This window comes from Homo sapiens, chromosome 12 (genome assembly GCF_000001405.40).
Source record: "Homo sapiens chromosome 12, GRCh38.p14 Primary Assembly".
NCBI classification, from domain to species: Eukaryota; Metazoa; Chordata; class Mammalia; order Primates; family Hominidae; genus Homo; species Homo sapiens.
In genome coordinates, this window is record NC_000012.12 from 55,100,186 (window position 1) to 55,113,765 (window position 13,580).

At 36.2% G+C, this 13,580-nt stretch overlaps 2 annotated features.

Annotated features, from left to right (window-relative positions):
* Positions 991-1,727: an enhancer, noted in NCBI's record as "H3K27ac-H3K4me1 hESC enhancer chr12:55494960-55495696 (GRCh37/hg19 assembly coordinates)". NCBI's record gives its function as "activates a minimal SCP1, AML or CMV promoter by ChIP-STARR-seq in naive and primed H9 embryonic stem cells {active_cell/tissue: H9 hESC(naive and primed)}" and the evidence as "EXISTENCE:reporter gene assay evidence [ECO:0000049][PMID:30033119]".
* Positions 1,728-2,464: an enhancer, noted in NCBI's record as "H3K27ac-H3K4me1 hESC enhancer chr12:55495697-55496433 (GRCh37/hg19 assembly coordinates)". NCBI's record gives its function as "activates a minimal SCP1, AML or CMV promoter by ChIP-STARR-seq in primed H9 embryonic stem cells {active_cell/tissue: H9 hESC(primed)}" and the evidence as "EXISTENCE:reporter gene assay evidence [ECO:0000049][PMID:30033119]".

Below are 13,580 nucleotides of genomic sequence, written 5' to 3' on the forward strand. Positions count from 1 at the left end.
ACACTGATGGGTCTTGACTCTTTATCCAACTTGCCAGTCTGCGTCTTTTAATTGCAGAATTTAGTCCATTTATATTTAAAGTTAATATTGTTATGTGTGAATTTGATCCTGTCATTATGATGTTAGCTGGTGATTTTGCTCATTAGTTGATGCAGTTTCTTCCTAGTCTCGATGGTCTTTACATTTTGGCATGATTTTGCAGCGGCTGGTACCGGTTGTTCCTTTCCATGTTTAGTGCTTCCTTCAGGAGCTCTTTTAGGGCAGGCCTGGTGGTGACAAAATCTCTCAGTATTTGCTTGTCTATAAAGTATTTTATTTCTCCTTCACTTATGAAGCTTAGTTTGGCTGGATATGAAATTCTGGGTTGAAAATTCTTTTCTTTAAGAATGTTGAATATTGGCCCCCACTCTCTTCTGGCTTGTAGGGTTTCTGCCGAGAGATCCGCTGTTAGTCTGATGGGCTTTCCTTTGAGGGTAACGCAACCTTTCTCTCTGGCTGCCCTTAACATTTTTTCCTTCATTTCAACTTTGGTGAATCTGACGATTATGTGTCTTGGAGTTGCTCTTCTCGAGGAGTATCTTTGTGGCATTCTCTGTATTTCCTGAATCTGAACGTTGGCCTGCCTTGCTAGATTGGGGAAGTTCTGGATAATATCCTGCAGAGTGTTTTCCAACTTGGTTCCATTCTCCACATCACTTTCAGGTACACCAATCAGATGTAGATTTGGTCTTTTCACATAGTCCCATATTTCTTGGAGGCTTTGCTCATTTCTTTTTATTCTTTTTTCTCTAAACTTCCCTTCTCGCTTCATTTCATTCATTTCATCTTCCATTGCTGATACCCTTTCTTCCAGTTGATCGCATCGGCTCCTGAGGCTTCTGCATTCTTCACGTAGTTCTCGAGCCTTGGTTTTCAGCTCCATCAGCTCCTTTAAGCACTTCTCTGTACTGGTTATTCTAGTTATACATTCTTCTAAATTTTTTTCAAAGTTTTCAACTTCTTTGCCTTTGGTTTGAATGTCCTCCCGTAGCTCAGAGTAATTTGATCGTCTGAAGCCTTCTTCTCTCAGCTCGTCAAAATCATTCTCCATCCAGCTTTGTTCTGTTGCTGGTGAGGAACTGCGTTCCTTTGGAGGAGGAGAGGTGCTCTGCGTTTTAGAGTTTCCAGTTTTTCTGTTCTGTTTTTTCCCCATCTTTGTGGTTTTATCTACTTTTGGTCTTTGATGATGGTGATGTACAGATGGGTTTTTGGTGTGGATGTCCTTTCTGTTTGTTAGTTTTCCTTGTAACAGACAGGACCCTCAGCTGCAGGTCTGTTGGATTACCCTGCCGTGTGAGGTGTCAGTGTGCCCCTGCTGGGGGGTGCCTCCCAGTTAGGCTGCTCAGGGGTCAGGGGTCAGGGACCCACTTGAGGAGGCAGTCTGCCCGTTCTCAGATCTCCAGCTGCGTGCTGGGAGAACCACTGCTCTCTTCAAAGCTGTCAGACAGGGACACTTAAGTCTGCAGAGGTTACTGCTGTCTTTTTGTTTGTCTGTGCCCTGCCTCCAGAGGTGGAGCCTACAGAGGCAGGCAGGCCTCCTTGAGCTGTGGTGGGCTCCACCCAGTTCGAGTTTCCTGGCTGCTTTGTTTACCTAAGCAAGCCTGGGCAATGGCGGGCGCCCCTCCCCCAGCCTCGTTGCTGCCTTGCAGTTTGATCTCAGACTGCTGTGCTAGCAATCAGCGAGATTCCGTGGGCGTAGGACCCTCTGAGCCAGGTGTGGGATATAGTCTCGTGGTGCGCCGTTTCTTAAGCCGGTCTGAAAAGCGCAATATTCAGGTGGGAGTGACCCGATTTTCCAGGTGCGTCCGTCACCCCTTTCTTTGACTCGGAAAGGGAACTCCCTGACCTCTTGCGCTTCCCAGGTGAGGCAATGCCTCGCCCTGCTTTGGCTCGCGCACGGTGTGCACACACACTGGCCTGCGCCCACTGTCTGGCACTCCCTAGTGAGATGAACCCGGTACCTCAGATGGAAATGCAGAAATCACCCGTCTTCTGCGTCGCTCACGCTGGGAGCTGTAGACCGGAGCTGTTCCTATTCGGCCATCTTGGCTCCTCCTCCAAGAAAAAACTTTTAAAATAAACCATTTGAGAGTAAGTTGCCAACATAATGATCCATCTTTCCCAGATACTTTGATGTGTAATTCCTACCACCAAAGACATTCTCCTCATAATCATATTTCAATACTCAGAATCAGGATTGCTTTACCATCGTTTAAGCCTCCGAATTGACCAGTTGTTCCAAAGGCCTCATTGATAGTAAAAGGAATGGTAATATGGAAAGTTTAGAGTCACATTTTGCATCCAGTTGTGTATGTAAGTCTCCTTAAATATAGAACAGTTCATCAGTCTTTCTTTGATACTCCTTGATTTTTTTCTCTTTATATTCTTGATGATTTCAGGCCAGTTATTGGGTAGAACGCCCCTCAAATTGTGTTTTTCTGATTTTCTTAATGATTAAATTCAGGTACGTATCCTTGTCAGGATTATCAAACAAGTGTAGTGAACCATGCTTACAATATGTTATCTCAGTGGCACACAATGCCAATCTGTCCCAAACCCATTTGATTAAAATAGTATCTGCTCTCTTTCTCCTCTGTAAATTTACTTTCTCTTTTTGTAATTAGTAAGTATTTTTATTAAACATTGTGAGACCATGTAGGTATTCTAGTTTTCTAAGTTTTGAAAAATTTATTTATTTATATAAGCGTGAACTCATGGTTTTCTACTTTATTTAATGTGTTATAATACATTATTGACATTGTTTATTTTGATGCTCAGATTATCCCCAGTTTAGCCAGTGGGAGTTTCTTTGAGCTAGCTTCTGTGTTTTTTTGACTTATCTCCAACATTCTTTTAACACTTTATACTTTTTGACACAAAACAACAGAACAGATTTTTGTGTTCTTTGCCTATCTGATATGAAATTACGCATTTCTCCAAGGATCCCTGGTTCCTTTTAGTGGAGAAGTGTATTTAGAAATCAAGACATGGGTGATGTGTGTTCAATGTTACTGCTATTTAGGTGCTGGTAGGTCTCTTAGTTGGCAGACATACATATGTATATATGTATATGTACACATCCACATACATTCATATGTGCACTCATTCATGTATGCATACATACCATCATTTGCACCTACATTTCTATATCTATTACATATTGAAAATGATGAGTGATATGGTTTGGATTTCTGTCCCCACCCAAAGCTCATGTTGACTTGTAATCCCCCATGGTGGAGGCGGTACCTGATGGAAGGTGATTGTACCATGGGGGCAAACTTACTCCTTGCTGTTCTAGTGATAGTGAGTGAGTTCTCATAAGATCTGGTTGTTTAAAAATGTGTAGCACCTCCCGCCTTCTCTCTCTCTCTCCTGCTCCACCATGTGAAGATGTGCCTGCTTCCCCTTTACCTTCTGCCATGATTGAAAGTTTCCTGAAGCTTCCCCAGCCATGCTACCAGTACAGCCAGCAGAACCATGAGCCAATTAAACCTCTTTTATAAGTTACCCAGTCTCAGGTAGTTCTTTATAGCAGCATGAGAATGGACTATTACAGTGAATCTATTCTGACACTATAAATTCCAATCCAACAGTACAGAGTTTATTCTGGTTTCTCAATTTGCATATTGCAAACTCCCTCTCCAATACTCATTATGTTTAATATATTTACTTTTTGACTAATTCCGCTTTATATTTTCTCTATACTCTCATTACTGCTGTCTCTCTTTCCCCTACATGATTGTTCTTTTTATCCTAATCTGGCTTCTGCACCTGTTGCTGGGCTGCTGCTAGTATAAACCTGTGTAAATACCCTTTGCATCCTGACCACTATCCAACACTCTGCCTTGGGCCTTTCTGCTATATGGAAACCATCTACAACTCAACCATGCTCTGATATCCTATGCCAGGTCCCACCAATTGACTACTATGAATGCTTTCCTGATCCCACATTTACTCTGATACCATTATAAATATGGAGAATCTCATGGATTTCTTCTGTTATAATGTTACGGCAAAGATCTTTGTAAATGCTCTCTGGGAAAGTTTTTGTGGATGCTGTTTGGGAAAGAGACACCAAAAGAGTTTCATTATTCTGAATTTGTGGCTTGAATTTGGGAAGAGTTGATAGAAGAGACAAGATATGAACACTAACCATTAAAAATGGTTATAGTTTCAGGCTAGAGTGAAAATAAACAGAGAAGCAAAAACTGATAATTAGAAATTCTAGCTTATTCAGAATAGACAAAATTAAAAACTGTTTTCAATACATAGAAAAGTACACAATGTTAATAGTTCTCGAGTGAGATTATTTTGACACTATAAAGAGCGTCTGCACTCTGTGAACCAATTAACTTGTTTTAGGGTAGACTATGTACTCAAAAATCAGTTTGTCATGTTACCATCTGTGTAACATGTTGCATGAGAGGATTCAAAAGATTTTCCCCGGTATATAAATAAAACATGAGGCACCCAACAATGGCCAAAATTGTAAACATTTTATTGTTTTTTCTCATACTCATTTTTTGAAAGTCTACCTCCAAACCTTCTACAACATACTATAACAAAAAAGTTGTCTTTTATATTTTATAATGTGTTGACACAACCAGACAATTTTAAATTGGTGTTATTCCCTTTATTTTCTTCCATACACATGCTCCCATAGTCAGGCATGACTTTTCAGATATGCCGTAAAGTGTTAAATATGAAAATGATACTAATGCATCCCAAATCCTACATATTCTTTTCCACATATTAAATGATGGCCAGTTTATATTCTATGTAATAAAAGAAGTCCATGTATATATTAAACCTATATTTGAAGACTGAGCATTTTGTCATGCATGGATATGGTATTTAAATGTTTTTCCAAGTAGTGTAAGTAGAATTATTAAATTTTCATCATAATCAGCATTATAAGAAGTAAATATGTTTATAAGAGGAAATACTTGTTAAAAGTAACCAGATATTATACTTTGCTTCAGTTGAGCTTTTAATTGATTTAATTATAAATTCCCGCTTATTATATCATTTATGTGAAAGTGAGAACTTACTTATTATAAAATCTAGTAAAGGTAATTAAAGAAATTTAAGTTGATTAGGCTTTGTGTGAGAAAATGAACCTAAATCTTGTATAAATGAAATTATTATTTTCACATTATTTTTAAAACTGATAAGAGCAGGCAGAAGAAATAACATTGTTTCTAAGCCAAAATTGTCAGCTTACACAAGGTTTTTTTTTTACCACATTAATATATCAAATATAAATCCCATTTTTTTGAGAATACTGAAGTTTACTTCGTACTCTTCTCTAACAACTTGCACTACATTGCCACCTGTCGTGAAGCCTAATAACCAAAACCATTACAAATTTAGCTAAATTATTTTTCTCCTTAAGTAAGTTTTATCAAGTGTCGGAAGCTTATTTTAAGCAAGCCAACAAATGTAGAACATTTTGCATGAAGTATTTCTAGAAAATTTTACAGTTCTCTCATATTAAAAATGCTTTTCTAGTCTTTATAAGCTAATGAAGAACAGCTTCATTTGATAAACAGACTACTGTGTAGTTCTATAAGTGAAGATATATCAATATGTTTGCTGAGAAAGTATTTCTGACTCAAAACACACTTTATTCTTATCAAACTCTTAGGTAGATTAGCACATTCAGGAACAGTTTTTAGCTGACTAACTCTCAACATATTGTGTGTTGCTTTTTCTGTAGCACCTGTTGAGTGAGATTGAGGGTTCAGCTAGGGTCATAACTTTAAGCACCATTAAGTTCGTGTTGTCAGTACGTGAAGCACAGTTTTACATCTGAATTTTCCATCATTTGTATATTTCTATGGGCCTTTCTTATAGTATGAAAGAGGAGAAAGAGAAATCATGTACTCAGAAGCATCAGATTTTTCATAGTCATGAAACTCTTCTTCTCAAAAGTAATTTTCCCCATTCTTCATTCCATTCTTTCATTCATTTGTTCTATTTTGTACAGTTTGTTCAAATTATGAACACTTTTCTTAAAAGCCAGAGGCTTTGCCATACAAAACCAGTTTCAGAAGTTTTTGGGAAACATTTACACATTTTCTCCCCATAGATGGGAATGTGCCTGTTTGAAATAGATGTTATTACAGTGTGTGAAAATGGCTTTACAACCAATTAATTTCCAAATATTTCCTGACATAAGAGAGAATTTGCCACAGATACAGAAAAAGTACAAAAGATCTTTGTAAGAAATGAATTACTTCAGGATAGAAAAGGCATTTTTAAAATTTACATGCTCATTATGAGAACTAGAAGTCTCATTTTCCAGTGGCAGCTGTAAGTCAGAGTAAACTTAGCACAAAAGCTCCATAATAGTCACGGTTATTCCAGATCTCTAAGATCTTCCCTTTATTCCAGAGAGAAATGTATTGTTTTCTTTCTGATGATTTAGGCTCACAATGGCATACAAATAAAATGCATAGCTTAAAGGATGTTAAAAGAAAGTGAAGACTCCAGATGAAAAATAAAAAAGGTCAACTCTATAGAACATCTGTCTTGTTGACTGTCATCTAATAGATACTGTCCCACAATATCAGATTTCCATGGGGAAACATGAGGCTGGGGACAAATCAGGATCAGAGTTAGATTTGCTGAAAAACCAGAATTAGGAAAGAAATACAAAATTAGAGCAAGAGTTCTCTAGCTACATGACATTCACCCTGGGAACTGAGAAAAGAGAGATCTTGGTGAAAACACTTCAGAAGGCTCAAATCTCAGTACATGAGGTTGAGTTAGGTTTGGCTCTCAGTTTACCCAGCAAAACCTTCAAAAGAAGTTTCAAAGGAAAAAGGAAAAAAAGGTAGTTTTGTTCCTACCTTGAAAAAAAAAGGTAGTTTACTTGCAATGAAAGTTTGCAATAGAGTCCAGGCTTTAGGACTAGCTCACCAGATTGAAGAAAAAAGAAAAGCAACAGCCATTTAAAGGAAAAACAAAATCCCCCAAACTCTCACGAGATTATCAAGGTTACAGGTATTACAGTTAATTTGATCTTGGTGATAAAAAAGCCAGTTATGTCACACCCATAAAGGCCATAGCATATCTTCAGATATAAGCATTGTGAAATTCAGAAAAGAGTTGTTTTTAATTAGGAAGTCAGCAATTTATGGGGAATATCAAGGTTTATCTTAGGGAGGGGTCAAAATTAGACAGAAAGACTCTGTTTTTATTTTTTTGTTGTTTTATTTGATGTAAAGAAGCAAAACTCATGTGACATGATAATTAGTTACCACAAGGGCAGCCAAGCAAGCTGACATGTTTACATCAGGTAATTAACCACAGTAACATAGTGTGATGGTTAATATTAAGTGTCAACTTGATTGGATTGAAGGATGCAAAGTATTGTTTCTGGGTGTATCTGGGTGTTTCTGGGTGTTGCCAGAAGAGATTAACATTTGAGTCAGTGGACTGGGAGAGGAAGACCCACCCTCAGGAAGACCCACCCACAATGTGAATAGGCACCATCCAATCGGCTGCCAGTGTGGCTAGAGAAAGAAGGCAGAAGAAGGCAGAAGGACTAGACTGGCTGAGTCTTCTGACCTACATCTTTCTCCCATGCTGGATGCTTCCTGCCCTGGAACATCAGACTCCAAGTTCTTAGCTTTTGGACTCTTGGACTTACACCAGTGGTTTGCCAGGGGTTCTTGGGCTTTCAGACACAAACTGAAGGCTGCACTGTTGGCCTCCCTACTATAGAGGTTTTGGGACTTGGACTGGCTTCCTTGCTCCTCAGCTTGCAGATGGCCTATTATGGTATTTCACTTTGTGATCATGTGCGTCAATTCTTGTTAATGAACTCCCCTTCATATACACATTTATCCTATTAGTTCTGTCCCTCTAGAGAACACTGACTATTACACATAGTGAAGTCAGTAAGGATCCTGCAGCATTTTAACTCACATTGTCTGTCTAAACTGTAAAACACGCTAGAAAGAAGTCAGAGACATCTTTAAACAAGAATGAGAGGCAAGAATAATACTGGTAGAATATAAAAGAAAGATTTCTTTTGCACAATGAGTTTAGAACTTGAGTGTTTTTCATAAGATCATGTATCAATTCTACAACAAAACAAAACTACAAGAAATCTCAAGTGAATCAATATATGTAAATAAGAAGTATAAATTAGTTTGACTTTGTAACCTCAAATATATTCTAAGCTGCATAAGTTTTATTACCTATAATTATATTTCCTTGTTAGTGAGTTCAATGGCATGGTTATGCAATGAATAATATTTATATAATATTCTCTTAAATGTTTGTTGAAATGTTTTTGAATAAACTTAGAGCTAAAGCAAGAACACATTATTTTGTCTCAGTTTGACAGTAATTACATTATGTAACTTTCCTTTTGTACTTTTGTTTGTAGGGCATTTTTTAAACTACAAAATGACATTTTGTTACTTTTTGCTTTATCTATGGATTTTATAAACAGCAGATAAAATTATGTTTACCTTTATAGACTACAGATAAGTTATTTTAATTATGTGAGTTTAGCAAGGTATATTTAACCAATTTTCCAACTATTTTTATTTAGCAATGTTATAGAATGTAATATACTAAAACTAACATGCAAAAAAGAGAAAATATTATCCTTAATTTATCACACAGAGAGTTGCTTTTAGTTTGTTATCTATATACATTATAATGTATTTTTGAATTGCATGCTATGATTCTTCAATATTAAGAATATTTGACACTTAATAAACATTCTATTAACAGTTCAAATTACTGTTTTATTATAAAAGAAAATCTTTTATAGAAACTATAGAAAAATGATAAAGAGAAGTAAATACACGTGACTTTATCTTATGTCTTTCAAGTTTATTTGCTAGCAAGAATAAAATATTAATAAGTAGTACCAGAGAGTGCACTAATTTCACCAAACTTTAAAAGGTACTGATATGGTTTGGCTGTGTCCCTACCCAAATCTCATCTTAAATTGTAGCTCCCACAATTCCCACGTGAATCATGGGGTGGGTCTTTCTGGTGCTGTTCTCGTGGTAGTGAATAAGTCTCATGAGATCTCATGGTTTTATACAGGGGAATTTCCCTGCACAAGCTCTCTGTTTGCCTGCTGCCAACCATGTAACATGTAACTTGCTCCTCCTTGCCTTCCTCCGTGATTGTGAGGCCTCCCCAGCCATGTGGACTGTTAGTCCATTAAACCTCTTTTCTGCATAAATTACCGAGTCTTGGGTATGTCTTTGTTAGCAGCATGCAAATGGACTAATACAGGTACTATTCTACCTGAACATTCTAACATAATTAAGCAATTTATGTTTTTTGTTTCTGACTAGAATTATATTTTATGTAACACTTAATTTTTAGCACAATTTTTTAACCTTTCTTTGTCATTCAGGAATATCTTATTATTTTCCTTTATTCCAATGTTACAATCTCCAAAATTATCAGAAGCATGTATTTGAGAGCACCTGTCAAAATTCCACAGCTGACTATAAACCATCTTTTGAAAAGGAGGATTAAAACAAGACAACAATTGTCTGTGAATAGCAAAATGTCCAGGGTAGTTACAGTTATAAATATAATTGACAAAGAAATTTGGTTATCTCCATCCTTTACAATAACTTAACATAACAACCTTAATTATGATTGATAGCATATACTCACACCTTATAATTTTAGAAATCCCATGCAATTTTGGAACATATATTAACATTATTCACAAAAATATAACCTAAAGAAGATTGAACATCATTTTGGCAATCCCATATACCTGAATATGTCAAATAATTCTGTTTACCTCTTTTCTGGATGTTTCAGGGGCCCTCTGATCCATCCAAAAAGCCAGGCATCAGGAAAGACAATTTTGAAATTGAAGTTTGATTTTGGAAAGCCTGTTAAATATGTTCAAAGTTTAAAACACTTGATATTATGAAATAGAATTTCAGATTACTGTAAGTTACTTATTTTGCCAAAATGATAACTCAGAAATTTAAAAATTTTATAACCCCTTACAAATTTTGCTAAAGAGCAGAGTAGTGCCTTAAGAATACCTTGTTGTGCTTTTATTTTAATGCTCAATTTACAGAATAACCATATAATACCCCTTTTGAATGTAGTCAATATGTTCACACAGAGAATTTCTATTTCAAGATTAATTTTTAGAAACCTTCCACCACTTGTTTGAATTTAAACAATTTTTTAACCCTAGGCAAAAAACAACTAGAGAGAGCAAAACCAAATTTCATGGACAGACAAATTTATATAACAAAGTGTGACTATGAATCTCCAAATATTAGCAGGTGGGAACAAAGCATCAACCTCAAAATCTGAGCATTATTGGCGCTGTGTTGGAGAAAGCAAATGGAAGAAATCAGATTTCTTTTTATTTTATTTTATTTTATTATTATTATACTTTAAGTTTTAGGGTACATGTGCACAATGTGCAGGTTAGTTACATATGTATACATGTGCCATGCTGGTGTGCTGCACCCATTAACTCGTCATTTAGCATTAGGTATATCTCCTAATGCTATCCCTCCCCCCTCCCCCCACCCCACAACAGTCCCCAGAGTGTGATGTTCCCCTTCCTGTGTCCATGTGTTCTCATTGTTCAATTCCCACCTATGAGTGAGAACATGTGGTGTTTGGTTTTTTGTCCTTGCGATAGTTTACTGAGAATGATGATTTCCAATTTCATCCATGTCCCTGCAAAGGACATGAACTCATCATTTTTTATGGCTGCATAGTGTTCCATGGTGTATATGTGCCACATTTTCATAATCCAGTCTATCATTGTTGGACATTTGGGTTGGTTCCAAGTCTTTGCTATTGTGAATAGTGCCGCAATAAACATACGTGTGCATGTGTCTTTATAGCAGCATGATTTATAATCCTTTGGGTATATACCCAGTAATGGGATGGCTGGGACAAATGGTATGAGAACAAACAAATTCAAAGTAGCCAACAGGTATTCCCTAGAAAGTGTGGCAGACCAAAATGAGAATAGCAGCTGATATAGGAGAGCTTTTACCCACTCTAACAGTGAGTCTGTGTAAGGAACACATGGTAAGGCCTAAAAAGGTTATGAAAGCCTAACCCATGTAAACTTTCAAAACACACCAGCTTCATATCTGGACATAGCCTCACGTTGAAAAGAAGTGGTCATAATTATTCACCCCCTCCCTTTGACCATCCTTTTTGCTATGTCATTTTTCAGTGCTCTCCAACTCAGGGAAGGGATGTTCTGCCCATTCCTTGATTCATCCACATCACTTGCTTTGGCCAGTGAGATGTTTGCTTGAAAAGTTGCTTGTGGTATATTTCTGCTTTTATTTGTCTTTCTCAACCATAGCTATAAGAAGATGCCCAGGGTTGCCTGATGGAAGACAAGACACATGCAGAGAATATACAAGTTGCTTCAGTCATCCCAGCTAAGGTCATCCTCAACCAGCCAACAATAGAGACTGCATAGCTAATATCATCAGAGATTCCTAGTTGATGACCCCAGTAACATGAGTTTAACGACACTTAGGCTTTGTGGTTGTTCTGTACACGTTATTTTTGTAATAGCTGGTAAGTATGCTAAATAAAATTTAATTTAGATATTTAATCTTGTACATTATATTCTAAGTCTTTGGTAACTGAATTTCAGTATATGGTATACCGAATGGCTACATGTTCATTTCTTTCAAGCTCATTAGTTTTTTTCATTACTTCTTGTATTTCAGTGAGATAGGCACATTCTAATGTTTGGACTCTCAATCTTGTGGTCCAGCTAGAACCACAGTACTTAGTACTTCAGAGGTGACTTAGTACATCAGAGGCGACAAGGCCTTGAGATAATAATTGTCACTTATATTCAAATAGGCTTGCTTGTTAATTGAATCTTGCTCATTAATTTTAATTATAAATACATTGGTAACCTGGTATGTAATATATTGTATGATACAATAGGCAAAATAGAAATCACCTATGATCCCACAAGAAAATGGCAATAAAAAAACCTATAGAACATAAGACTATGAGCTATCATGTAAAAGAAGCAATACAAAAATTAATTGTGAATGTGGAAGGTATAAATTAAACTGAGAAATGGAAATTATGTGAAATACATTACCTCAACCTAAAGCAAGTTTTTCTAACAAGAAATTGTTTCCACAAAGACTCCGAGATGGTTCAAGGTAAGTAATAAGGATAGATAGTATCCTTTTCTTGTTGTCTCTTCCTTCCTATGTGGCCCTGGTGGAATGAACCTGGAACTTTTCATTGTTATCACCCATAATTGACTTATTCTTAGCTTCCCCCAGAGGGATCCCCTTCCACCCAGTCTATACCGTAATTACCTGAAATAGTTGCAATAGTGCTAACTAAGGGCACCACCAGTCCCTCCTGCCATATTCCATAGATCTTCAGGGATTACCACAGTTCACTGGTGATTTAATCTTTGCCTTATTTAAATTTCCCTTTTGCTTTCATTGTTCTCATTCCAATGCCTGTAATATACACTACAACGCAGGGGAGGCGTGTTCATGCAGTGCAATCCTTTAGGTTCAGTTGCATTTCCTTTTCAGTTTCAATAAAGAAATATTCATAGGCCTGGAAGAGGCTTTGATAGATTCTCTTCCATCCTCTTTTCTCATGAGAGGGGTATATAATTACAGGGGATTTTCAGGCAAAAACACTATTAAGGAAATGAAAAAAGACATTCTTAATTCAAGAATGAGCTATTATTAATCTATAAGGGCCTAAAACAGAACAAAATTACATATTTCAAAACAAGATTTTTATATCTTATGCTAAACTTTTATTTTTATCATGCTTAATTTTGACATTGTCTTTAATTTCCATCATATAGTTTTACAACCTTTTTGCCTTTCTAGAATTAAATACAATAACTTTTTTATCCTCACATCTACCAGTAGAAAATTGCTTTAAAAAAGTCAAGAAAGAAGACATATTCAGGTAAGAGATGAGTTTTTTTTTTTTTATTTTAGTCAAATAATTAATCATCCTTAAGTATTTCTGCATGCTTTATCAAATAAAAATTATTTTATGATTGGCAATGTTTGCTTGTTACCAATTATAAAATAAAGCCAGTATGCACCTTAAAAAATCACAATCTTTTTCTTGAAGGGCAGATCACAACATGCTGATTATTTCATAATAAATTGAAGGTGAACAAAGGAGAAAATGCAGGTGCACTTGTAGTTTGAGAAGAAACTAATTTCTAATACTCATGGGTCACCTTATTCTGGCTGGCATACAGTAGATGGCCCACAAGTGTTCAGCGATTGAACGAATGATTGTATGAGTAAATATTATTCTTGAAAAAAATTAATCTCAATAATTACTTCCTGATCATAGTGGATACTGTCAGGTATAGTTTCAGAAAATATTCTGTAATTTAATTAATAAAACTGGGAATTAGAAGAAAGAACATTTGCTGCTAAAATACTGCTGAATATCCAGTTGTGTGGTGTGAATTTGGTGGCTTCAATAAGGCCTTCTTATTTACTCTAAAAATTTCTAATATTTTACTTGTT